At 53.7% G+C, this 26283-nt stretch overlaps 2 protein-coding genes across 9 annotated transcripts in view, besides 4 other annotated features; both read left to right on the top strand.

Moving 5' to 3' along the window:
* Nucleotides 1–3092, top strand: part of BRD4 (bromodomain containing 4) — a 97021-nt gene extending 93929 nt beyond the window's left edge. For 4 of the 5 annotated variants that reach the window (NM_001379291.1, XM_047438540.1, NM_058243.3 and 1 more), the window contains exon 20: nt 166–3092. In NM_001379291.1, the coding sequence (NP_001366220.1) occupies nt 166–234 (69 nt within the window). In that variant the 3' untranslated portion in view covers nt 235–3092. The remainder of the gene's footprint in view (nt 1–165) is intronic. The other variant, XR_007066712.1, reaches the window with a different exon arrangement.
* Nucleotides 1603–11692, top strand: EPHX3 (epoxide hydrolase 3). 4 transcript variants are annotated; one of them, XM_047439452.1, is made up of 9 exons: nt 1603–5204; nt 5611–5691; nt 6355–6642; nt 6750–6835; nt 7215–7372; nt 7521–7649; nt 10511–10614; nt 10704–10840; nt 10949–11692. In XM_047439452.1, exons 3-9 carry the CDS (start codon nt 6400–6402, stop codon nt 11172–11174), a joined length of 1083 nt encoding a protein of 360 aa, XP_047295408.1. In that variant the 5' UTR covers nt 1603–5204; nt 5611–5691; nt 6355–6399; the 3' UTR covers nt 11175–11692. The 4 variants fall into 4 exon arrangements, with proteins under 4 accessions (XP_047295408.1, XP_024307493.1, NP_001136358.1 ...); XM_024451725.2 differs by having other exon boundaries at nt 1603–5259; NM_001142886.2 differs by lacking the exon at nt 1603–5204 and having other exon boundaries at nt 5643–5691.
* Nucleotides 5414–5573: a silencer, noted in NCBI's record as "silent region_10269". NCBI's record gives its function as "represses an Ori minimal core promoter by ATAC-STARR-seq in GM12878 lymphoblastoid cells {active_cell/tissue: GM12878}" and the evidence as "EXISTENCE:reporter gene assay evidence [ECO:0000049][PMID:35858748]".
* Nucleotides 5912–6413: an enhancer, noted in NCBI's record as "H3K4me1 hESC enhancer chr19:15343009-15343510 (GRCh37/hg19 assembly coordinates)". NCBI's record gives its function as "activates a minimal SCP1, AML or CMV promoter by ChIP-STARR-seq in naive H9 embryonic stem cells {active_cell/tissue: H9 hESC(naive)}" and the evidence as "EXISTENCE:reporter gene assay evidence [ECO:0000049][PMID:30033119]".
* Nucleotides 15155–15234: a silencer, noted in NCBI's record as "silent region_10268". NCBI's record gives its function as "represses an Ori minimal core promoter by ATAC-STARR-seq in GM12878 lymphoblastoid cells {active_cell/tissue: GM12878}" and the evidence as "EXISTENCE:reporter gene assay evidence [ECO:0000049][PMID:35858748]".
* Nucleotides 15405–16101: an enhancer, noted in NCBI's record as "H3K27ac-H3K4me1 hESC enhancer chr19:15333321-15334017 (GRCh37/hg19 assembly coordinates)". NCBI's record gives its function as "activates a minimal SCP1, AML or CMV promoter by ChIP-STARR-seq in naive H9 embryonic stem cells {active_cell/tissue: H9 hESC(naive)}" and the evidence as "EXISTENCE:reporter gene assay evidence [ECO:0000049][PMID:30033119]".

The following is a 26283-nucleotide window of genomic DNA, read 5'->3' as shown; positions in this document are numbered from 1 at the left end:
TGGACTCAGCTGTAGGGCCCTGAGTGCTGTGTGGACGGGGTGAGCGCTATGAGGGGTCAGCCACGGGGAGGGCTACGGGGCTGACTGCTGGTAGCGGGTATGAGGGCTTGTAGCTGCAGGGTGGCTAGGTCATCCTCCTGACTCCCTCCTTCCTTTCTCCTCCAGATGGCAGCTACCATTGACATGAATTTCCAGAGTGATCTATTGTCAATATTTGAAGAAAATCTTTTCTGAGCGCACCTAGGTGGCTTCTGACTTTGATTTTCTGGCAAAACATTGACTTTCCATAGTGTTAGGGGCGGTGGTGGAGGTGGGATCAGCGGCCAGGGGATGCCTCAGGGCCTGGCCCTCCTGCATGCTATGCCCGGGGCAGGCCTGACGGGCAGCTGAGGATTGCAGAGCCTGTCTGCCTTACGGCCAGTCGGACAGACGTCCCGCCACCCACCACCCCTCACAGGACGTCCGCTCAGCACACGCCTTGTTACGAGCAAGTGCCGGCTGGACCCAAGCCCTGCATCCCCACATGCGGGGCAGAGGCCCTTCTCTCCGCCAAATGTCTACACAGTATACACAGGACATCGTTGCTGCCGCCGTGACTGGTTTTCTGTCCCCAAGAACGTGACGTTCGTGATGTCCTGCCCGCCGGGAGTCTTTCCCCACACCCCAGCCATCGCCGCCCGCTCCCAGGAGGCCAGGGCAGGCCTGCGTGGGCTGGAGGCGGGCGAGGCCGGCCCACCCCCTCGCTGGCACTGACTTTGCCTTGAACAGACCCCCCGACCCTCCCCCACAAGCCTTTAATTGAGAGCCGCTCTCTGTAAGTGTTTGCTTGTGCAAAAGGGAATAGTGCCGTGGAGGTGTGTGTGTCCATGGCATCCGGAGCGAGGCGACTGTCCTGCGTGGGTAGCCCTCGGCCGGGGAGTGAGGCCACCAACCAAAGTCAGTTCCTTCCCACCTGTGTTTCTGTTTCGTTTTTTTTTTTCTTTTTTTTCTATATATATTTTTTGTTGAATTCTATTTTATTTTTAATTCTCTCTTCTCCTCCAGACACAATGGCACTGCTTATCTCCGAAATGGTGTGATCGTCTCCTCATTGAGCAGCGGCTGCCACCGCGCTGTGGGTAGTGTGTGACCGTGGCTGTACTGTATAGTGAACATAGTTGGCATATCTTTGTTTGAAGTTTGTTGGTGACTCCACCAAACTGGTGTGAAAAAAGAAAAAAGCTCAAAAAAATCCACAAAAAGACAAAACACACAAAAAAAATCCTGCCTATATTTTACTCAGTTTCAAACTTTATTAGTCTATTTTTAATTATAAAACCAGAAAGCTACAATTTCTTTTCTTTCCCCTCCACCCCCCCCCCCCCCACCCATTTGTTGGCTTTTTTGTTTTTTAATGTCAGATCTGTTGAGTTGGTTTTTTTGGTTTTGGTTTTTGTTTTTGTTTTTGTTTTTTACTGAGAAAGGAAGGGCCAAGGGATGAGGTGGGAACCGGGCCCTGGGGGCGCCACAGACTAAGGCAGAGACTCCCCTACCTGGCGCCCAGCCCCAACCAGCTGGCCGCTCCTGCCCATGCTTTTTTTTTTTTTTTTTTTTAATTTTTATAATTGGAGCCCCTGGTGAGGTTACGCGTGCCATGAGAACCCACTCTACACCACGACGCTGGTGCCTCAGTGTTGGCCAAACTCTGGAGTCACTGACTGGTTTGACTTTCATACGGTGAATATGCATTTGGTCTGTACTGATCATGGAATAAACACATCTCTCTTTTTTTAATGCTGGCGTCTCCCTGACATTTCTTTGTGAACCAACTGTTGCCTAGGCTAGGCCCAGGGGACCCCCTGGACCCCAGACCACCTCTGTACAGGAACTACTGCCAGGGATTACCTAGCCCCTCTCCTGTGACCTGTCCCTGTCTGCCCTGGGCGGGAGCCACGCAGACTCATAGCAACCACCCCAAGCTGAAGCTGTGACGCAGAGCCCGGTACCCATCCTTGTGGACCCTGGCTGAGGTGGAGGGTGTGCTCTAGCAGAACCCTGGCCAGACTCCAGACAGTATTCTTCCCCTCCACCCTACTCCATCCTGTCCCCCCTACTCCATCCTGTCCCCCCACTCACCAAAGGACTTGGGCCACTTCTCCCACCTTGCCTGCCTCAACCTAACTCCTCCTTTCATTTAAGCTCAGGGTTAACCAGATACTCTTAGATATAAGTCTACATCCCCCAAAATAGGATCCTCACCCCCCATGCACATACACACACATTCCTGTCCAAGAAAGCCCACAGGTGGCTGCTCTGCCTGTGTGTCCACTTGTGTATGTACATGCCCCAGCCACAAGGCACGGGTGACGCCCAAGAAGAGCCCCTAAGATGTAAGATACAAGTATATAATTTATATGTATGCAGAGACAAACTGATTGAAACATTTCTAGCACTGTTTATTCTCCTACATCCCCTCTTTTTGACCTGAAAGGTCCTTTATTGTCTTTGGATCTGCCAAACCTCCCTGTGAGGGTGTGGTTCAGGCATCCAGCCAGAGGTCCCCCCACTTCTTCGATGTCCATGCCCACTCAGGCACTTTCTCATATACCACTGTGCCACTTCAAGTGTGACGTATTTAGGTTCTTTGGGGTTTCTTCCATCTCATCCCACCCACTCATTTTTGTTCCTTGTTTTGTTCAGACACTTCCCCAGCCTGGGTCCAACTGCTGAGCTGGATAGTTTTCTCTGCAGCTTCCTGCTGAAGATTTAACTCAGCCATGGCCTTCTCCACACCTCCCTGATGGGTGTCTCTCTACCTGGGTTGTAATTAGAACTGGGATCTATTTAATTTCTCCAGCCATTTCCCAACCCTTCCCACAGTACTAGAAATCTTAGTCCTATACCAGAGTAAGAGGTGTGTACAAGCCCCCACTGTACTGTATGCACGGATCGCTTGGCCAATAATTATGTCAGTGAATCTGAGACTTGTATTAAACACTTTAGACATTTGTAGAAGGGAATTCGTAGACTTTTCACTTACATACGAAAGGTTTTTTTTTTTTTTTGTGCAGTTCTCATTGCAAAAATAAACATTTGTACTGAGTATAAAGTTACTCTCCTGTGATGGCTGCTTTTTGTTTGAGGGTAGACTTGGGAGAAGCGGGGAGATGAGGGCGGGGGGTCAGTGATGTGTAGGAGAGGAAGAAGGGAGGTTCCCCAGACACCCACCACCCATGCGTCCAGATTAGCGGAGTCGGTTGGGAGAGATCCTGGGAACATCAAATTGTGAGATAATTGATTTAATGGAAGGTGTAAAAGAAAAAGCTGCCAGGCACGGTGGCTCACATCTGTAATCCCAGCACTTTTGGGAGGCCGGGGTGGGAGGATCGCTTGAGGTCAGGAGTTAAGAGACTAGCCTGGCCAACATGGTGAAACTCCCATCTCTACTGAAAAATACAAAAAATTAGCGGGGCGCGGTAGCACACACCTGTAGTCCCGGCTACTCCGGAGGCTGAGGCAGGAGAATTGCTTGAACACTGGAGGCGGAGGTTGCGGTGAGCCGAGATCACACCACTGCATTCCAGCTTGGGTGATATGGTGAGACTCCCATCTCAAAAAAAACAAAAACAAAAAAACCCCCAAAGCTTTGATGTAGGCTAATCACACAACAAAAGAAAGGTAGTGGTTAAGTAGTCCAGGGAGAACAAAAGTTTGTACACTATGGGCAATGTAATCATAGTGGTCTATTCGGCTCTTGAGATGCATTGTTCACTGAGGCAGAACATAAACCACTATTCACCTTTAAGTGGCAACTTCATGGACTTAGTTATGGTCCCAGGACAGTATAATGTTTAGCAGCCTTGACAGTACAAAGGTATATGGATAAAAGTGGGAGGTGGAAAGGGGCAAGAGGTGACAAGTGGAGTGTTTTTAAAGGAAACTAACAGGGAAACAAAAAACGGCACGTCCGGGGTAGTGATGTGAGCAAGTCAGTGGCTGATGTCATACATTGGTTAAGTCAAGAAATAAAGGTCAGGCACGGTGGCTTGCATCTGTAATCCCACTTTGGGAGGTGGAGGCTTGAGGATTGCTTGAGGCCAGGAGTTTGAGACCAGCCTGGACAATATAGCAAGTCGTCTCTCTGAAAAGTTTTTGAAAAATTAGCTGAGTGTGGTGGCACAGGCCTGTAGTCCCAACTACAGGTTGTAGTGCTTGAGCCCAGGAGTTCGAGGCTGCAGTGAGCTATGATCGAAACTCCATCTGAAAAAAAAAGAAAAAGCTAAAAACGTTCCAGTGGCTGCTTCCGGGAGGAAGGGGAGGTGTAGCCACAGATCGCTGCCTTTTTCCCTACATCTTTGCGGATGGCTATTTTACAAGATGTATGTCTTCAGGCAAATGACTTCATCCTCGAATTTCAGGTTCATGATCTATACTACAGGAATGTGATTATGCTACTTAGACTTAATAGGGTTGCTCTATGGTTAAGTGATGGCTGTCCCTAAAATGTTCAAGGATATCGGGAGAAGGTTGCAAAATAGGAGGAAGAAGCTGGCTGCTTTTTTTTTTTTTTTTGAGACGGAGTCTCGCTCTGTCGCCCTGGCTGGAGTGCAGTGGCGCAATCTCAGCTCACTGCAACCTCCGCCTCCTGGGTTCACGCCGTTCTCCTGCCTCAGCCTCCCTAGTAGCTGGGACTACAGGCGCCCGCCACCACGCCTGGCTAATTTTTTGTATTTTTAGTAGAGACAGGGTTTCACCATGTTAGGATGGTCTCGATCTCCTGACCTCGTGATCCGCCCGCCTCGGCCTCCCAAAGTGCTGGGATTACAGGCGTGAGCCACCGCGCCTGGCCAGAAGCTGGCTTCTTGCAGGGACAGCAGGGCCGCAAGGCTCTGTGACTCTAGGCCCCATCACACCCGGCCCTGTCCCACTTCCTCTTTCGGCCAGAACCCCAGAACTCCAGTCATTCATAGGCCGGGTCCTCCTCGGGGGAACCAGGCCTGCCCCCTAGGAATCAGGGTATCCACGCCTCCTCGGCCCGCTCTCGGAGCCTGGGCCTCAACACCTGCAGATTGGCTCCCGGGCCAGGACCTGTCGCTTGAACATCAGTGGCCGCCGCCGTCCAATCACAGACGTACAGGGGCGGGCTGGCGGGCCTGTTGGGCCAGCAGGAGGACGGCGCCGGGCCGAGGCCGCTGGACCCGCCGTTGGAACCACAGCTGGGTGAAGTCAGTGCTGCTAGGTCTTTGGAGCCAGACCGAAGGGAGGGTCGCGCGCCCCTGGGTGGGTAGCACCAGGCGGCGGCCGTCGGCCGGGCCTCCCGAAGCCTCCTCCAGCCGCTAATACCGCCCGCGCCTCCCTCCTAGTCCTAGACCTGGCATTGCCTGTCCCTCTTCTTCGTCTTCCAGACCCTCCTGACCCGCCATATTAGGTCCCGGCCCCGCCCTCCGTCTCATTGCCCATTGCCCACCCCACCCCACCGCCCCCTCCCCGGCCTACCGTCAGCTCATTGGCCCAGGCTCCCGCCTTCTTCGCCCAATGTTAGGCCTCACCTCCTCTAGGATCCACCCTCTCCCCGCCCACCCGCATAAGCCAGGCCCACCATTCCAACTCTTTCTCCTTTTTGGCTTGTAGGCCGCACCTACTCTGCATATGCCCCGCCCCTCACTCCAGGTGTCGCCCACTTAACTGAAGATCCAGGATCCCCTCCTTAAGGTTTGTCTGGGCTCGGAATTGCCTTTTTTTTTTTTCTTTTTTGAGACGGAGTTTCCCTGTTGTGACCCAGGCTGGAGTACAGTGGCGCGATCTCAGCTCACTGCAACCTCCACGTCCCGGGTTCAAGCGATTCTCCTGCCTCAGCCTCCCAAGTAGCTGGGACTACAGGCGCCCGCCACCACGCCCAGCTAATTTTTGTATTTTTAGTAGAGACGGGGTTTCACCACGTTGCCCAGGCTGGTCTCGAGCTCTTGATCTCAGGTGATCCGCCCGCCTCGGCCTACCAAAGTGCTGGGATTACAGGCGTGAGCCACCGCACCCGGCCCGGAATTGCCGCCTTTAGACCCTCACCCACCCGCTGCTGAGTCTTCCTGGGCCCCGCCCCGGCCCTAAGCCCCGCACAGGACCTGCTAGGCCCCGCCCATTTATTTCCCCCCTTTCCAACCTCTTCCTCCCCAGCCTCCGCACCCTACCCTTGTTTCCTGTCCCTGTCGCGCCCAGGTGTTTACCTGGCACTCAGGTGAGTGGTGCGCTCTGGCTGTTTTCTGTCGGAGCCGCCCGCCTCTTCCTTCAGCGCGTCCCACAAATCCCGACGGCACGGAGGGGCCCCAGGCCAAGGGCGATGGGCCCCTGAGCCCTGACACCGCTTCGCCGCTGCTGCAGGTGCCCCTGGCCGGCAGCGCCGCCGTGGTCCCGGAGCGCGGCGACATGCCGGAGCTGGTGGTGACCGCGCTGCTGGCGCCGTCGCGCCTGTCGCTGAAGCTGCTGCGCGCCTTCATGTGGAGCCTGGTGTTCTCGGTGGCGCTGGTGGCCGCGGCGGTCTACGGCTGCATAGCGCTCACGCACGTGCTGTGCCGGCCCCGGCGCGGCTGCTGCGGGCGCCGTCGGAGCGCGTCCCCCGCCTGCCTGAGCGACCCCTCGCTGGGTGAGCACGGTTTCCTGAACCTCAAGGTGATCGCACGGGGGCGCTATCGGGGCTGCGGGGTCGCGTGGGGTCGAGACGGTTCAAGCCTCGGGAGAGAGGGTTCCCCAGGCTTCAGGCTGTGCCCTCCCCCTAGAGCTCGGGCCTGCGTCTGCACTATGTCTCGGCTGGACGAGGTAACGGACCCCTCATGCTGTTTCTGCACGGCTTCCCTGAGAACTGGTACGTCTGGGGCCAGGGGCCTGAGGCCCACGGGACTCGGGGGCAGGTGGAGCTTGGGCTCCCAAGAGGCAGGGAGGAGGGCTGTATAGATCGGGACAAGCTGAACATAGATGGGGATAGGGGTACTGAGCCAGCATACCCAGGATCCCTAGGCCCTGAAGGGACAGGACAAAGGGGTATTGAGGTTGATTGAAGTTCCCTGGATTCAGGGTGTAGCTGGCTTCAGCCTCAGCCTCTGCCTCTGCCTGGGATTCCCCATCCTCCTTTTAGGGGAAGTTTAGAGCAGGAAGGAGGGTTTGCCAATGGTTGCTGATGTGCGTAGGGTGCAGGTGCAACCTGAGGGCCCTGACTCAGCCTCCCTCCCTCGCCCGCCTGGCAGGTTCTCCTGGCGTTACCAGCTCCGGGAGTTCCAGAGCCGCTTCCATGTTGTGGCTGTGGACTTGCGAGGCTATGGCCCCTCGGATGCACCTCGGGATGTGGACTGCTACACAATCGACCTGCTGCTGGTGGACATCAAAGATGTCATCCTAGGCCTGGGTGCAGACATACCCCCATCCTAGGCGTGGCCTCCCTCATCCTGCACACACGCATACCCCCGCTTTCTCCTTGCTGGAACCTACTTCCCCCATCCCTGCTTCAGTCCTACTGGGCACCTCACTTATGCGAGCTCCTTGAATTCCCACAGGTTACTCGAAGTGCATCCTTGTGGCCCATGACTGGGGTGCCCTCCTTGCCTGGCATTTCTCCATCTACTACCCATCCCTGGTCGAGCGGATGGTTGTGGTCAGTGGTGCCCCCATGTCGGTGTACCAAGGTGTGTGTGGGAGTCCGGGACACTGGGATGTACTTATGTGCAAGGGGGCAGGGACATGTGTCTGTGTTTTCAATTCTCTGTATACCTGTCAACACATCAGGGGCTGAGGGTGCAGCAATCAACCCAGGTCCCTTCGGTTGTGGAACTCCTCATTCGGAAATTAATGACACGCCAGACCCAGTGGCTCACACCTGTAATCCCAGCCCTCCGGGAGGCTGAGGTGGGAGGATCACTTGAGGCCAGGAGTTCAAGACCAGTCTGGTCAACATAGCAAGACCCCAACTGTCTCTACAAAAAAAAAAAAAAAATGTAATTAGCCAGGCATTGGTGGTGCATGCCTGTAATCCCAGCTACTCGGGAGGCTGATGCAGGAGAATCTCTTGAACCTGGGAGGTGGAGGTTGCAGTGAGCTGAGATCATGCCATTGCACTCCAGCCTAGGCAACAAGAGCAAAACTCCATCTCAAAAAATAAATAAATAAAATAAAGTATGGCCAGGCGTGGTGGCTCCTGCCTGTAATCCCTGCACTTTGGGAGGCCAAAGCCGGTGGATTGCTTGAGCCCAGGGGTTCAAGACCAGCCTGGCCAACATGGTGAAACCCCGTCTCTACTAAAAATACAAAAAAATCAGCCAGGCATGGTAGTGCACGCTTGTAGTCTCAGCTACTCGGGAGGCTGAGGCAAGAGAATCACTTGAACCTGAGAAGTGGAGGTTGCAGTAAGCCAAGATCGCACCACTGCACTCCAGCCTGGATGACAGAGTGAGACTCTGTCTCAAAAATAAAATAAAATAAAATAAATCACAATACACTTAGGAGTAATCCACATTTTTTTATAGCACTTACAGTAACAAGGAATATGCACACAGTAACCTACTTAAGGCTCCTGGGCTTATGAAGGTTGTATTATCCCCATGTTCCAGCTGGAGGAAACTGAGGCTGGGGAGGTTAACAATGTCTATCATATCACCTGATGTTAATATGCAGCACTGTGGTCATAACTGTGCTCTCTCTCTCTCTTTTGTTGTTTTTTTTCTTTTTCTTTTCTTTTCTTTTTTTTTTTTTTTTTTTTTTTTTTGAGACAGAGTCTTGCTCTGTCGCCAGGCTGGAGTGCAGTGGCGTGATCTCAGTTCACTGCAACCTCCGCCTCCCAGGTTCAAGCGATTCCCCTGCCTCAGCCTCCCAAGTAGCTGGGATTACAGGCCACCATGCCGGGCTAATTTTTTGTATTTTAGTAGAGACGGGGTTTCACCATGTTGGCCAAGATGGTCTTGATCTCCTGACCTTGTGATCTGCCCACCTTGGCCTCTCAAAGTGCTGGGAGTATAGGCGTGAGCCACCACGCCTGGCCCCTTTTTTTTTTTTTTTTCTTGAGATGGAGTCTCACTCTGTGCAGTGCAGTGGCGCAATGTCGGCTCACGGCAACCTCCGCCTCTCAGGTTCAAGTGATTCTCTTGCCTCAGCCTCCTCAGTAGCTGAGACTACAGATGTGTGCCACCATGACCGGCTAATTATTTTGTATTTTTAGTAGAAATGGGGTTTCAGCATGTTGGCCAGGCTGGTCTTGAACTCCTGGGCTCAAGCGATCTGCCGGCCTCAGCCTCCCAAAGTGCTGGGATTACAGGAGTGAGCCACCCTGCCTGGCAACCTCTACCTCCTGGGTTCAAGTGACTCTCCTTCCTCAGCCTCCAGAGTAGCGGGGACTGCAGATATGCCCCAACACGCCCAGCTAATTTTTGTATTTTTAGTGGAGACGGGTTTTCACTATGTTGCCCAGGTTAGTGTCTAACTCCTGATCTCAAGTGATCCACCCGCCTTGGCTTCCCAAAGTGCTGGGATTACAGGCGTGAGCCACCGCACCCAGCCTATTATTGTTTACTTGTCTGTCTCCCCATCTAGACTGTCAGCTCCCTGAGGGCAGGGAGTTTTTTGTCTTTTGGGGGTGTCTTTTTTTGTGTTTTGTTTTTTTTCCTTTGAGACAGTCTTGTTCTGTGGTCCAGGCTGGAGTGCAGTGCTGTAATTGCAGCTCACTGCAGCCTCAGACTCCTGGGCTCAAGCGATCCTCCCACTTCTGCTTCTCAAGTAGCTGGGACTATAGGCACACACCACCACACCCTGCTAATTTTTAAAAAATTATTTTTTGGAGGCCGGGTGCGGTGGTTCACGTCTGTAATCCCAGAACTTTGGGAGGCTGAGGCGGGTGGATCATGAGGTCCGGAGATCGAGACCATCCTGGCTAACACTGTGAAACCCTGTCTCTACTAAAAATACAAAAAAAATTAGCCGGACGTGGTGGCGGGTGCCTGTAGTCCCAGCTACCGGGAGGCTGAGGCAGGAGAATGGCGTGAACCCGGGAGGCGGAGCTCGCAGTGAGCCAAGATCACACCACTGCACTCCAGCCTGGGCGACAGAGCGAGACTCTGTCTCAAAAAAAAAAAAAAAAAAAAAAAAAAAAAAAAATTATAGATACAGGGGTTTCCTTAAGTTGCCTAGGATGAACAGGGAGTTTTGACTGTCTCATTCACTGCTGTGTCTAGAACAAGGCCTGGCATGCAGTAGTTGCTCAATAAATGTTAGCTGAATAAAGCAGAGGAAACGCACCCTGGCCTGGGCAGAGGAAGCACACCTTTGGATATGGGGGTTCCCAGGAGATGCCCCCATCCTGTGGATAGTGAAACATGGCAGGAGGGAATGTAGCTGGTGCCCAGGCCAGGAGGGGTATCTAGTACCTTCACAGACCCAGGCAGGCAGCAGTGGCATTCCTGAGGCTTGTGTCCCTGACCTGGGTATGTGTAGGGGTGCAGGTGTATGGGGCCACCCCAGGAGCAGGCCTTATATCTCTCCCCCAACCCTCCCACCCCAGACTATTCCCTGCACCACATCAGCCAGTTCTTCCGTTCCCACTACATGTTCCTGTTCCAGCTGCCCTGGCTGCCCGAGAAGCTGCTGTCTATGTCTGACTTTCAGGTACAGAGGGTGCAGGTTGAAGGGAGGAGGGAAGCAGGTCGGGGCTGGGCAGGCTGGGCACTGAAGCCAGAGTCCTGCTGTGTACCTAGATTCTGAAGACCACCCTCACCCACCGCAAGACAGGCATCCCATGCTTGACCCCCAGCGAGCTCGAGGCCTTCCTTTATAACTTCTCACAGCCTGGTGGCCTCACTGGGCCCCTCAACTACTACCGAAACCTCTTCAGGTGAGACCAGTTGCCAAGCATAAGCTCAGGAGATTTGCAGGGGCAGGGGGGTGGGAGGCAACCATCCTTCTGCCTGTCTGTCTGCCTGTCTGTCTGTCCTGGCCACAGGAACTTCCCCCTGGAACCCCAGGAGCTGACCACACCCACATTGCTGCTGTGGGGGGAGAAGGACACTTACTTGGAGCTGGGGCTGGTGGAAGCCATCGGCAGCCGCTTTGTGCCGGGCCGCTTGGAGGCCCACATCCTGCCAGGCATAGGGCATTGGATCCCACAGAGCAACCCCCAGGAGATGCACCAGTACATGTGGGCCTTCTTGCAAGACCTGCTGGACTAGTGGTCCTTGCTGGCCTGCCCAGGAGGCATGGATACTCAGGAAGGAACACACACCCATTATCTGTGTGTGCCTGGGAGTCCATACAATGTCCATACATGGGTGAACTCTTGAATCGCTCATAGGCATGGGACTCCTGGATCCCACACAAGCGCACCTATGGGTGCCTCGGGACACACCAACCCCTATACTCACACACAGGCATGGATGCATGTGTGTGTAACAAACACTTTGACCCTGGGAACTGGGTATACCTCTCTTCCAGTGGAGCCAGATGCCGAGACCGAGTGTCCCACCTCCTCCCTTCCTGGGGCCTCACTCTGCGCTTTGCCAAAGTCGCTTCTCTGCCATAGCTGCACAGACCTTAAACCCTGACCTTCCTGTCCCTGCCTTCGACCTCCTGCCTGGGTCTTCAGCTCAGTGCTACTCTGAATACAATACTGCTGACCACATTTGGCTACTTCAGCTTAAATGTATGTTAATTGAAATGAAATACAATGAAAATGCAGTGCTCAGTCCCACCAGCTGTATTTCATTTTTTTCCCCTTGAGACAGAGTCTTGCTGTGTCGCCCAGGCTGGATGGAGTGCAGTGGACGCAATCTAGGCTCACTGCAACCTCCACCTGCCGGGTTCAAGCGATTCTTGTGCCTCAGCTTCCCGAGTAGCTGGGACTACAGGAGCGTCACCAGGCCTGACTAATTTTAGTATTTTCAGTAGAGATGGGGTTTCACCATGTTGGCCGGGCTGGTCTCGAACTGCTGACCTCAAGTGATCTGCCCACCTTGGCCTCCCACAGTGCTGGGATTACAGGCGTGAGCCACTGTGCCTGGCCATACCAGCTGTATTTCAAGTGCTCAATTGCCGCATCAGTGAAGAAAGTTGTGTGTGGCAGCGCTGATGAGGGTAATCCTAGCTTAAGAGTAGGGGTCAGGGCCGACCACAGTGGCTCAAACCTGTAATCCCAGCACTTTGGGAGGCTGAGGTGGGCGGATCACGAGGTCAGGAGATCGAGACCATCCTGGCTAACCTGGTGAAATGCTGTCTCTACTAAAAATACAAAAAATTAGCCGGGCGTGGTGGTGGGCGCCTGTAGTCCTAGCTACTCAGGAGGCTGAGGCAGGAGAATGGCATGAACCCGGGAAGTGGAGCTTGCGGTGAGCTGAGATCGCGCCACTGCACTCTAGCCTGGCAACAGAGCGAGACTCCATCTCAAAAAAAAAAAAAAAGAGCAGGGGGCCTCCCTGCCTGGCCCCTGGCAACCTCCCCAAGGGCAGACCCTCATGAGCAGGCAGGTGGGTGTGCAGATTCCTCATTCCTCTCCAGCCAGTCCCAGGAGAGCTCCCACAAGCCCCTTCCCTCACCCCCCGTCATGACCCCAGGCCTGGTCAGGTCAAGTTCTCTTGCCCCAGCCTGGGCTGGCCTGTCTCAGATCCCTGGGAAAACAGCTCTCGTCTCTGTTAGGACAAGTGAGATTCTGGATTCCGGGCAGGAAGGGACCAGCTCCCAGAAAAGCCATCTGGGATCTGAGGCCTGCCTCTCCAGCTCCTGGAAACTTCTGCTCCAAATTAGCCACAGTTTCCGCTGACTCTGGAGCCCTCTGGGGTGGGGATGGGTGGGGGGTGGCGGTTATATGTGGAGGGTGCGCCACCCAGTCTCAGGCTGACCGTAGCATCAGCTTGTATCTCCCTGGCTTGTGCCTGGCTTTTTGGGGATGTTGCCATCATCACCTGTACCATGAGGACTGAGAGGCCCTGAGAAATACATTCTCCTGTCTCTGAGATAGGCCTGCCTGCTGGTCATCCCCCTCTGTCCTCCCTTATCCCCAGCACAATATCCTTTTTTTGTTTGTTTGTTTGTGAGATGGAGTCTTGCTCTGTCGCCCAGGCTGGAGTGCAATTGCGCGATCTCGGCTCACTGCAGCCCCCTCCCAGGCTCAAGCGATTCTCCTGTCTCTGCCTCCTGAACAGCTGGGATTACAGGTGTCCGCCACCACACCCAGCTCATTTTTGTATTTTTTTTTTTTTTTTTTTTTTTTGAGACGGAGTCTCGCTCTGTCCCAGGATGGAGTGCAGTGGTGCGATCTCGGCTCACTGCAAGCTCCGCCTCCCGGGTTCACACCATTTTCCTGCCTCAGCCTCCCGAGTAGCTGGGACTACAGGCGCCCACCACCACGCCCGGCTAATTTTTTGTATTTTTAGTAGAGACAGGGTTTCACCGTGTTAGCCAGGATGGTCTCGATCTCCTGACCTCATGATTCACCCGTCTCGGCCTCCCAAAGTGCTGGGACTACAGGCGTGAGCCACCGCACCTGGCCCATTTTTGTATTTTTAGTAGAGATGGGGTTTCACCATGTTGGCCAGGCTGGTCTCGAATTCCTGACCTCATTATCCGCCCACCTCGGCCTCCCAAAGTGCTGGGACTACAGGCGTGAGCCACTGCGCCTGGCACAACATCTTTTTACTCAACATAGATACCAGGCAGTGTTCTAGGTCCTAGTGACAGAGTGTGAGCCAGAAAGAGTTTAAGGAGGAGAGAGCTGACAGGGCTCAGGGAAGGCTTCACTGAAGACTCACAGGTGGGACCCTAGCTAGAGGATGCACTTATTTGTTGTTGTTTTGAGACAGGGTCTCACTCTGTTGCCCAGGCTGGAGTGCAGTGGTGTGACGTAAGCTCACAGCAGCCTCTACCTCCTGGGCTCAATCAATCCTCCTGCTTCAGCTTCCTGAGTAGCTGGGACTATAGGGGCACACCACCATGCCAGGCTAATTTTTAATTTTTTTTTTGAGAATGGAGGCTTGCTCTATTGCCCAGGCGGGAGTGCAGTGGCGCCATCTCAGCTCACTGCAACTTCCACCTCCTGGGTTCAAGTGATTCTCCTGCCTCAGCCTCCCCAGTAGCTAGGATTACAGACACACGCCACCACACCTGGCTAATTTTTGTAATTTTAGCAGAGACGGGGTTTCACCATGTTGGCCAGGCTGATCTCCAACGCCTGACCTCAAGCAGTCCGCCTGCCTCGGCCTCCCAAAAATTTTTTATAGAGACAGACGTCTCACTATGCTGCCCAGAGTGGTCTCAAACTCCTCGGCTCAAGTGATCCTCCCACCTCGGCCTCCCAAAGTGCTGGGATTCCAGGCATGAGCCACCGCGCCCGTCTAGGATGCACTTTTTGGTGGAGTGGGAAGTAGTGACTAGGAAGGTCCCAGGCGGGAAGAAGCTTGGGTCATTGGAGTTACAACACGCAGGCCAGGGCCTTGCTAAGGCAGAGTGAGCGAGGAGGCTTCAGAGAAGAGGCCACACAGCCAGATCGCCAGGGGCTGCGAGGAGCTTGGATTCGATTCTCAAGGGGAGCCAGGGGAGGGTTTTCAGCAGGGAAGGGACATGGCTTGCATTTTGAAGAGCTCCCTGTGGCGGTTGGACAGTCCCACGCAAGAGTGCGAGCGCCGAAGCCTGCGGGGGGCTGCGCGCGGCCACAGCACAGGGCGGTCCCACTGTCCCGACCGAGCAGGGACCCCCAGAGCCGGGTCCAACCCGGGGCCCCCCTGCCAGGGGAGGAGCAATGCCCCCCGCCCCGGGGAGGCGAGAAGACGGGCAGGAGGAGGAGGGAGCCCCTGAGACGTGGGGTCGCGGACGTCGGAGCCCGCGGCGGAGGTTTGGGGCGAGGAGGCCTGCGGACAGGACCAGGACGGCGTCCAGGGGTAGGTGGGTCCGGCGATGGTTGCCGGGGTGACGGGGGACGGGTTGATGGTTGACCGGAACGGGTAGCGGTTGTCCGAGTGACCGGAGGGGCCCAGGCAAAGGCTGACGGGAGGCCTGGGACAGTTGCCCGGGCGACGGAGATCCGCTGACGGTTGCTAGGGCGACGGAAAGGCGCCTTCTTCCGCCTCCGCGGCCGCCGGCGGGAGGGAGGCGGGGGTCTTCTGGGGAAGACGATCGCGTCGATTGGGCAGAGTCCTGGCGAGTAAGCCAATAGAAAATCGTGTCTCGTCGTAGACCCGCCTCCCCCAGCCTGAGCCAATCCCGGCCCGTTTTTTTTTTTTTTTTCTGGCCCAAGGGCTTGGCGCGTGCATCTTTTAGGGCGGGAGCGGGGACCTCGGGGGCTTGGGCTGGGATTCCTCGCATGATCGGCCTGTCCCTCTCCCTGCCTCCAGACCACTTTCCATCACTCACTCACTCACTCACTCACTCACTCACTCATTCCGAGGGCTGCATTGATGGTCCAGTAGTAGAATTCTCACTTCCCATTCATTCATTCATCCATTCATCTGTCCCTGCCACCAGTTCTAGGAGGGGTGGTGGAAGACAAAGCCGGGCTCTGACACTGCCAGCAGGGTGTGATCAGGCCCTGGTGGAATGAGCAACTGGGGAGGAGCACTTACCTGGGGGAAGGGAGGGAAGGCTCCCTGGAGGAAGCAGTCTTGGAGCTGAACCTTGCAAAGCTGCGCCCCGACCCACAGAAGCCTCCCACGCCGGGATGATTTAGCATTTCCGTGAGACTGGGAGGAAAGTTTGGGCTAGGAAGACGTGAGACTATAAAAGGCTTCACATGCCAGCAGGGGAGGGTCTCGGACAGATCCGTGTGTCTGGAATGTTACTTGGGGGATGGTGAGAAGGCCGGACCAGAGGACGGGAAGGCCTCAGAGGAGGATGGGCGTGGTCCAGGCAGTGGAGAACGAGACTCAAGTCCAGGCACTGGAAGAGGAGCAGATACGCTGAGAAGGTACAGAGGCAGGTTTGGGATATATTCAGTCTGACGGCGCTGGATCCCGGGGTAGGGACTTAGAAGCATGTTATGGGCTAAAGACAAAAATAGCCCAGCAAGCATCGGTGTATTGTGGGGCAGAGAGGCTCTTAAGCTGGGAGCGAGGGTGAAGTCTCCCTAGAGCAGAATGGAGAACAAGACTGGAGACTGAACCCTGAGGACCCCCAACACCTCAGAGACAGGCAGAGGAGAGAGGCCACAAAGGTAGGAGGTGAGGCCAGGCACGGTGGCTCACGCCTGTAATCCCAGCACTTTGGGAGGCCGAGGCGGGCAGATCACAAGGTCAGGAGATCGAGACCGTCCTGGCTAACATGGTGAAACCCCACCTCTACCAAAATTACAAAAAATTAGCCGGGCATGGTGGCACATGCCTGTAGTCCCAGCTACTCGGGAGGCTGAGGCAGGAGAATCACTTGAACCCGGGAGGCAGAGGTTGCAGTGAGCCAAGATCATGCCACTGCACTCCAGCCTGGGCGAGAGAGGGAGACTCCATCTCAAAAAAAAAGTCTAGGCACAGTGGCTCACACCTGTAATCCCAGCACTTTGGGAGGCCGAGGCGGGAGGAACACGAAGTCAGGAGTTTGAGACAAGCCTGTCCAGCACAGCGAAACCCCGTCTCTACTAAAAATACAAATATTAGCCAGGCGTGGTGGTGGGCGCCTGTAATCCCAGCTACTCGGGAGGCTGAGGCAGGAGAATCGCTTGAACCCGGGAGGTGGAGGTTATAGTGAGCCAAGATCACACCACTGCACTACAGCCTGGATGACAGAGCTAGACTCCATCTCAAAAAAAAAAAAAAAAAAAAAGGTAGGAGGTGAACCAGGCAAAAGTGATGCCCCAGCAATGGAGGAGGGAGGAGCGTCAAGGAATAGGGATGTAGTTCCTGGCGTCACAAGCTGCTGAGAGACAAGCGTGGTGGTTCATGCCTTCAATCCCAGCACTTTGGGAGGCCGAGGAAGGAGGATCACGGCAGACCAAGAGTTTTGAGACCAGCCTTGGAAACATTGCAAGACCCCTTGTCTCTTAAAAAAAAAAAAAAAAATTTAACTGCTGGGCATGGAGGCGTGTGCCTGTAGTCCTAGCTCCTCAGGAGGCTGAGATGGGAGGATCGCTTGAGCTTGTGAGGTCAAGACTACAATGAGCTGTGATCATGCCACTGCACTCCAGCCTGGAGACAGAGCAAGACCGTGTCTTAAAAACAAACAAACAAAAACCCAGGCCGGGCGTAGTGGCTCACTCGTGTAATCCCAGCACTTTGGGAGGCCAAGGTGAGCAGATCACTTGAGGCCAGAGTTCAAGACCAGCCTGGCCAACATGGTGAAACTCCGTCTCTACTTAAAAAAAAAAAAACACTTAGCTGGGCGTGGTAGCGGGTCCCTGTAGTCCCAGCTACTCAGGAAACTGAGGCTTGAGAATTGCTTGAACCTGGGAGGTGGAGGTTGCCGTGAGCTGAGATCGTGCCACTGCACTCCAGCCTGGGAGACAGAGCGAGACCTTGTCTCAAACAAAAAACAAAAAACCCTAAAACAAAACAAAACAAAATAAAACAAAAACAACCTCTGAGATAATCAAGTGAGAGCTATACAAATCTCCAAGTTATGAGGGAGGAAAGCCAGGAGTGAGACTGAAGGCAGAGGGCTTGGCTGCTCTGAATGAGGTTAAGCAGGGAGGGGCAAGGAAATATTGGAGGCTTGGGGAAAAACAACTGAACACATTCAAACAGAGTAATGCGGTCAGGCACCCGGGCTCACTCCTGTAATCCCAGAGCTTTGGGAGGCTGAGGAGAGATAATCGTTTGAGTTTAGGAGTTCGACACCAGCCTGGGCAACACAGTGAGACCCAGTCTCTAAAAATTAAAAAAAAAAAAAATTACAAACCGGGAAATTTGAGGCAGGTTTGCTGCAAGGACTATACACAGTGGTGTGGGCAGAGTTTGGGGAAACCAACAGGAGTTGCTGAGGCAGCCAGGGCAAGCACCCTTGGAGATCCTTTATCATTTCTGGATGCTCCCGATGGGGCAAGGGGAAGGATGTTAGCAGAGCCTAGGGAGAGAGTCGTGTGGATGATGGACACAGCCAAGTTGAGGCGACCCCGCAGGGAGGGATCCGGGAGGATTAGTGTCCCCAATTCACTTTCCTCTGACATCTTTTTTTTTCTTTTTCTTTTTCTTCTTTTTTTTTTTTTTGAGATGGGGTGTCGCTCTTGTTGCCCAGGCTGGAGTGCAGTGACGTGATTTCAGCTCACTGCAACCTCTGCCTCCCAGGTTCAAGTGATTCTCCTGCCTTAGCCTCCCAAGTAGCTGGAATTACAGGCACCCACCACCACGCCCGGCTAATTTTTGTATTTTTAGTAGAGACGGGGTTTCACCATGTTGGCCAGGCTGGTCTCGAACTCCTGACCTCAAGTGATCCGCCCACCTCGGCCTCCCAAAGTGCTGGGATTACAAGCATGAGCCACCAAGCCCGCCCTACATCTTCTGCTAGTGCCTCCAGTTGTCCAAACCCACCGGAAACTGGAGGACAAGAACATCTGTAGAATGCACAGAGTGGAGTGGAGAAGGGAGAGGTGGAGCCAGGGGTCTGGGGAGGTGCAAAGCAGGGAGAGGCGACCAGAGCTGGGGCCGGGCAGATGTGGGATGAGCATTTGCTGTGGATTTTACTTTAGTATTTATTTATTTCTTGTATTTTTTTATTTTTTTGAGATGGAGTCTCGCTCTGTCTTCCAGGCTGGAGTGCAGCGGCACAATCTCGGCTCACTGCAACCTCCAACTCCCAGGTTCAAGTGATTCTACTGCCTCAGCCTCCTGAGTAGCTGGGATTACAGGCTCACGCTGCCACGCCCGGCTAATTTTTTGTATTTCAGTAGAGACAGGGTTTCACCACGTTGCCCAGGCTGGTCTTGAACTCCTGAGCTCAGCAATCTGCCCACCTTGGCCTCCCAAAGTGCTAGGATTACAGATGTGAGCCACCAGACAATCTGCCCACCTTGGCCTCCCAAAGTGCTGGGATTACAGATGTGAGCCACCAGGCCCTGCCTATTTAATTTTTTGTAAGATGGAGTCTCACTCTGTCACCCGGGCTGGAGTGCAGTGGTGAGATCTAAGCTCACTATAACCTCTGCCTTCCTGGGTTCAAGTGGTTCTCCTGCTTCAGCCTCCTGCGTAGCTGGGACTACAGGCTCACACTATCACCTCCAGCTAATTTTTGTTTGTTTGTTTGTTGTTTATTGAGACGGAGTCTTGCTCTGTCACCCAGGCTGGAGTGCAGTGGCACAATCTTGGCTCACTGCAACCTCCGCCTCCCGAGTTCAAGCGGTTCTCCTGCCTCAGCCTCCCTAGTAGCTGGGATTACAGGTGCCCGCCACCACACCTGGCTAATTTTTGTATTTTTAGTTGAGAGGGGGTTTCACCATGTTGGCCAGGCTGCTCTCGAACTCCTGAACTCAGGCGATCTGCCCGCCTTGCAAATTGCTGACGTTAGAGACATGAACCACCATGCCTGGCCAATTTTTTTATTTTTAGTACAGATAGGGTTTCACCATGTTGGCCAGGTTGGTCTCAAACTCCTGACCTCAAGTGATCTGCCCTCCTCGGCCTCCCAAAGTGCTGGGATTACAGGTGTGGGCCACTGCACCTGGCCAGATTTTTACTTCATCATGGAAGAGATTTCAGCCTATGGCTAAGGAAGGAGGTAATGAAAGCCTAGGGGAGGAGGTCCCCTTCTCTCAAGTAGGAGGGAAGGTAGTTGGGACAGTGGGGACAAGTGTCACCCCTACAGGAAGGAGGACAAACTTCTGGGGTCAGGGAGCAGTAAGGGCAGGGGTCCTCAAACCTCAGGCCACAGAGAAACAGGGCCATACAGCAGAAGCTGAGTGGCGGGAGAGCCAGCGAGGCTCCATCTGTATTTACAGCCCCTCCCCCTCCGCAAATTACCACCTGAGCTCTGCCTCCTGTCAGATAAGCAGCAGCATTAGAGTCTCATAGGAGTGCAAACCCTACTGTGAACCGCGCATGTGAGGGATCTAGACTGCATGCTCTTTATGAGTATCTAATGCCTGATGATCTGTCACTGTCTCACATAACCCTCAGATGGGACCGTCTAGTTGCAGGAAAACAAGCTCAGGGCTCCCACTGTTGCTACATTACGGTTGTATCATTATTTCATCATATAGTACAATGTAATAATAATAGAAATAAAGTGCACAATAAATCTTATGCGTTTGAGGCTGGTCGCGGTGGCTCATGCCTGTAATCCCACAACTTTGGGAGGCTGAGGTGGATGGATCACTTGAGACCATGTGTTAGAGACCAGCCTGGCCAACATGATGAAACCCTGTCTACTGAAAATACAAAAACTAGGTGGGTGTAGTGGCGCACACCTGTAATCCCAGCTAATCAGGAGGCTGAGGCACAAGAATCACTTGAACCCAAGAGGCAGAGGTTGCAGTGAGCCGAGATCACACCACTGCATTCCAGCCTGGGTGACAGAGCGAGACTCTGTCTCAAATACATAAATAAAAATTAAAATGTAGGCCGAGCACGGTGGCTTACGCCTCTAATCCCAGCACTTTGGGAGGCCAAGGCGGGCGAATCACCTGAGGTCAGGGGCTCAAGACCAGCCTGGCCAACATGGTGAAACTCTGTCTCTACTAAAAATACAAAAATTAGCTGGGTGTGGTGGTGCACATATATAATCCCAGCTACTCGGGAGGCTGAGGCAGGAGAAATGCTTGAACTCGGGAGGCAGATGTTGCAGTCAGCCGAGATTGTGCCACTACCCTTCAGCCTGGGCAACAAAGTGAGACTCCATCTCAAAAAAAAAAAGAAAGAAAGAAAAAAAGAAAGTGTCCAGTGTCCAGGCACGGTGGCTCACACCTGTAATCTCAGCACTTTGGGAGGCCGAGGTGGGAGGATAACCTGAGGTCAGGAGTTTGAGACCAGCCCGACCAACATGGAGAAACCTCATCTCTACTAAAAATACAAAATTAGCCAGGCATGGTGGCACATGCCTGTAATCCCAGCTACTCGGCAGGCTGAGGCAGGATAATCGCTTGAACCCGGGAGTCGGAGGTTGCGGTGAGCCGAGATCACGCCACTGCACTCCAGCCTGAGCAACAAGAGCGAAACTCCGCCTCAAAAAAGTAAAAAATAAAAAAAGTAATGCACGTGAATCATCCCGAAACCACCCCCTACCCCGGTCCGTGGAAAAATTGTCTTTCACAAAACCAGTCCCTGGTGCCAAAGAGGTTGGAGGCCACTGAGTTAGGGGACATCAGAATATCACAGTTCAGAGGTGAGCAAGAGGAGATAAGATCCAGGGTGAGGCCATGGGCATGGAAGGTTGCTGTGGTCCGGAGCCCAGGGCCTGAGAAGACAGGACAGAGAACAGGGCGTCAGACCCAATGGAAGCTTCTGGGGTGGGGAAACCAGCACCCCCAGAAGGGGTTGAGAATGGCCTCCCTTCTACCCTTTCCCAGAGCCACAGAGCTGCAGACGCTCCATCGAAGTGAATTCCAGGCTGGGCATGGTGGCTCATGCCTGTAATTCCCGCACTTCAGGAGGCTGAGGCAGGAAGATTGCTTGAGGCCAAGAGTTCAAGACTGTATCTCTACAGGAAAAAAAAAAAAAAAAAAAAGGGTGGGCGCAGTGGCTCACGCCTGTAATCCCAGCACTTTGGGAGGCCAAGGCGGGCAGATCACGAGGTCGAGAGATCAAGACCATCCTGGCCAATATGGTGAAACCCCGTCTCTACTAAAAATACAAAAATTAGCTAAGCGTGGTGGCACGCATCTGTAGTCCCAGCTACTGGGGAGGCTGAGGCAGGAGAATCGCTTGAACCTGAGAGGCGGAGGTTGCAGTGAGCTGAGATCATGCCACTGCACTCCAGCCTGGCGACAGCGAGAATCCGTCTCAAAAAAAAAAAAAAAAAAAAAAAAAGACAAAGAAAAAAAAATTAGCCGGGCATGGTGGTGCATGTCTGTAGGTCCTAGCTTCTTAGGAGGCTGAGGGGAGGATCGCTTGAGCCCAGGAGTTTGAGGTTACAGTGAGCTACAATTGCACCACTGCACTCCACCTGGGTGACAAAGAGAGAACCTGTCTCTAACTCCAAAAAAACAAACAAAAAAAAGGCTGAGGCGGTGACTCACGCCTGTAATCCCAACACTTTGAGAGGCAGAGGTGGGCCGATCACCTGAGGTCAGAAGTCCAAGACCAGCCCGACCAACATGGTAAAACCCGTTCTTTACAAAAATAAAAAAATTAGCTGGGCATGATGGCTGGTGCCTGTAATTCCAGCTACTTGGGAGGCTGAGGCATGAGAATTGCTTGAACCCAGGAGGTGGAAGCTGCAGTTAGCTGAGATGGCACCATTGCACTCCAGCTTGGGCAACAGAGTGAGACTCCGTGAAAAAATAAAAATAAATAAATAAAAATGGCGGGTGCAGTGGCTCACGCCTGTAATCCCAAGCACTTTATGAGGCCGAGGTGGGTGGATCACCTGAGGTCGGGAGTTCAAGACTATCCTGACCAACATGGAGAAACCCTATCTCTACTAAAAATACAAAATTAGCTGGGCGTGGTGGTGCATGCCTGTAATCCCAGCTACTTGGGAGGCTGAGGCAGGAGAATAGCTTGAACCCGGGAGGCGGAGGTTGCAGTGAGTCGAGATCACGCCATTGCACTCCAGCCTGGGTGACAAGAGTGAAATTCTGTCTCAAAGAAACAAAAAAATTACCTGGGCATGGCGGTGTGCACCTGTAGTCCCAGCTACTCGGGAGGCTGAGGCACGAGAATCACTTGAACCCGGAGGCAGAGGTTGCAGTGAGGTGAGATCATACCACTGCACTACAGCCTGGGCGACAGAGTGAGACTCTGTCTCCAAAAAACCAAAAAAACCCAAAGTGATTGTTTGCAAACTAAATCAGATCAGCTTCTTGTGCTAAAACCCTCCAGTGGCTTCACTGTGCTTGGGCTAGAATCCCAGACCCTCTGGCCCCTTGGGAGTCAGCCCCACCTGCTTCCCTGACCTCCTCACCTTTGCTCATTCAGCACCAGGCACCCAGGCTTCCTCGCTGTTCCTCTCGTCCACCCTCTCCTTCCTCCTCTGGGCCTTTGCACTTGCTGTTCACTCTGTCTGGAACACCCTAGCCCTGGATGTTTGCCTCGCTGGCTCCTCTCCTTCTTTAGGTGACTTCCCCCTCTCTCCCTCACATTTAACCATCTTGTCTCAATGGCTCTGTTTTGGTTTCTTTTCTTTTTTCTTTCTTTTTTTTTTTTTGAGATGGAATCTCCCTCCGTCACCCAGGCTGGAGTGCAGTGGTGCAATCTCAGCTCATGACAACCTCCGCCTCCCGGGTTCAAGCAATTCTCCTGCCTCAGCCTCCTGAGTAGCTGGGATTACAGGCACCTGCCACCGTGCTCGGCTAATTTTTGTATTTTTAGTAGAGATGAGGTTTCACCATGTTGACCCAGACTGGTCTCGAATTCCTGACCTCAGGTGATCCACCCAACTCAGCCTCCCAAAGTGCTGGGATTACAGGCATGAGCCATCACACCCAGCCTCTTTATTATTATTTTTTTAAGACAGGGTCTTGCTCTTTTGCCCAGGCTGAAGTGCAATGGCACAATCATAGCTCTCTGCAGCCTCAAACTCTGGGCTCAAGTGATCCTCCTGCCTTAGCCTCGGGAGTAGATGGGTCTACAGGCATGCACCACCTATGCCTGGCTAATTTAAAAAATTTTCTTAGGCCAGGCATGGTGGCTCATGCCTGTAATCCCAGCAGTTTGGGAGGCCGAGGCAGGTGGATCACGAGCTCAGGAGTTCGAGACCAGCGTGACCAACATGGTGAAACCCTGTCTCTACTAAAAATACAAAAAAAAAAAAAACTAGCCAGACGTGGTGGCGCATGCCTGTAATCCCAGCTACTCAGGAGGCTGAGGCAGGAGAATCACTTGGATCCGGGAGGTGGAGGTTGCAGTGAGTGGAGATGGTGCCACTGCACTCTAGCCTAGTGACAGAGCGAGACTCTATCTCAAAAAAAAATTTTTTTTTTTCTTCTGAAGAGACAGGTGGGGTCTCGCTATGTTGACCAGGCTGGTTCTGAACTCCTGGACTCAAGTGATCCTCCTTCCTTGGCCTCCCAAAGTGCTGGGATTACAGGCGTGAGCCACTGCACTCAACCTTGATGGTTCTTGTTTGCCTATTTGTTTCTTGTCTGCTTCCCTTCTCAGGGCAGGAACTGGCTCTGTCTTGGGTCACCTCTGTCTACAATAAGGCCTGGCACCAAGTAGGTGTCCAGTAAATGTTTGTTGAATGACTGAATGAAGGTGAGAAGAGCTGGAGGTTCAGAGTGAGCAGCCAGGGGAAAGGAGCCTTTGTAGTATGAGAAGCATTTTCCTACCAGTGGGAACTCTGCATGCAAAGGCTGACAAGGCTGAGAGGCAGGGAGATGAAGCTGATGAGGTGGGGAGGAATTGTGTCACTTCAGGCAATGGGGAGCCATGGAAGTTTCAAGCATCGGAGTGTCCCAGGGAAGCAGTGTCCAGGGGACATGGCTGGGTCCAGCCTCCCCACACTTGCCGAAGGCCCACACTCAATTGCCCTCACTCCTGCTGGTTCTCACTAGGCTCCCACAGCCCACTGCCTGGCTCGAGAACCTGGCCCCAGCTTCCGCGCAGAGGGCGGGACTGTAGTCCCAAGAGGAGAAGCCAAGGGCACATTCTCAGGTTCCCGGTCAGCGGGCCGGCAGCTGTGTCTTGGCCTGGCCCCAGGTCCCGCGTCCCCAGGGACTGAGCTCATGGAGGAGAAATGCAGTCCCCAGCCAAGGCAGCCAGCAGGGGCCGGGGAGGGGGCTCAAGCCCACCCCCACCATGTTGGGAACTGTGCGGCCGCAGCTGCAAGGCCATGGGAAGGGTTGCTCCGACTGCCCAGTCCCCTAGGGATCTGGACACCTTGGGTGGGTCCCACCACCGTGGCTGGAGGGCAGTGGCAGGAACCCGCAGCTGAGACCCCATCTTCGGCTGAGCGGGTGCTTTGTAGATGGGTCTTTCTTCTTCTTCTTTTTTTTTTTTTTTTGAGATGGAGTCTCGCTCTGTCTCCCAGGCTGGAGTGCAGTGGCACAATCTCTGCTCACTGCAAGCTCCACCTCCCAGGTTCACGCCATTCTCCTGCCTCAGCCTCCCAAGTAGCTGAGACTACAGGCGCCCGTCACCACACCCGGCTAATTTCTTTTGTATTTTTAGTAGAGTCGGGGTTTCACCATGTTAACCAGGATGGTCTCAATCTCCTGACCTTGTGATCCGCCCACCTCGGCCTCCCAAAGTGCTGGGATTACAGGCTTGAGCCACTGCACCCGGCGGGGTCTTTTTCTTTTTTTCTTGAGATAGAGTCTTGCTCTGTTGCCCAGGCTGGAGTGCAGTGGTGCGATCTCGGCTCACTGCAACCTCTGCCTCCTGGGTTGCAGGGATGATTCTCCTGCCTCAAGTGATTCTCCTGCCTCAGCCTCCCAAGTAGCTGGGATTACAGGCGTCTGCCACCAAGCCTGACTAATTTTTGTATTTTTAGTAGAGATGGGGTTTCACCATATTGGCCAGGCTGGTCTCGAACTCCTGACCTCAAGTGATCCGCACGTCTCAGCCTCCCCAAGTGCTGGGATTACAGGCATGAGCCACCGCTCCTGGCCGGGTCTTTCTTCTTTTAGTCTGTATTCCCCCGTGAAGTCCTCTGCCTGGGTTTTCACCGTTACTTCCCCCTCTCCCACAGATCAGGGTGTGCTGTATCAGCAGTCACAGACTCTGAACTTCCTGCCTAGTGAAATGTGTGTCCAGGGTCCTTGGTTGCTCCTAGTGATGAGGAGCTCAGCACCTCCTACAGCATCCATTCCAGCAGAAAGCCCTTTCTCAATCGCTTGAACACCGGAGGCGGAGGTTTCAGTGAGCCGAGATCGAGCCACTGCAGCCTAGCCTGGGTGACAGAATGACATTCTGTCTCAAAATAAATAAATAAATAAATAAAATAAAGAAAAAAAAGAAAGAAAGCCCCTTCTCAGATGGGCCAAGGGAGGAGCTGGCCTTTCCTTGAGGGCCCTAACTTTGCCCCTCAATCCCTAGACCCTTCTGTGGAACCATAGACCACCCCCGCCTGCAAAATTATACTGAACAGAGTGGTTTGAGGCCCCTGAAGTGGCTAAGTGGCTTTTTTTTCGGGGGACAGGGTCTCACTCTGTCACCAGGCTGGAGTGCAGTGGTGCGATCTTGGGTCACTGCAACCTCCACCTTCTGGGTTCAAGTGATTCTCCTGCCTCAGCCTCCCGAGTAGCTGGGACTACAGGCACCTGCCACCACGCCCGGCTAA

This window comes from Homo sapiens, chromosome 19 (assembly GCF_000001405.40).
Source record: "Homo sapiens chromosome 19, GRCh38.p14 Primary Assembly".
NCBI lineage: Eukaryota > Metazoa > Chordata > Mammalia > Primates > Hominidae > Homo > Homo sapiens.
This window is presented reverse-complemented; position numbering and strand designations above follow the sequence as displayed.

Bases quoted from the DNA above. Each gene is read 5' to 3' on its own strand.
- EPHX3 (XM_047439452.1), top strand. From the start codon at position 6,400: ATGCCGGAGCTGGTGGTGACCGCGCTGCTGGCGCCGTCGCGCCTGTCG. The intron at 7,650-10,510 runs GTGTGTGTGGGA...CTCCCACCCCAG, and splicing joins CCCCATGTCGGTGTACCAAG to ACTATTCCCTGCACCACATC. The intron at 10,615-10,703 runs GTACAGAGGGTG...CTGTGTACCTAG, and splicing joins TGTCTATGTCTGACTTTCAG to ATTCTGAAGACCACCCTCAC.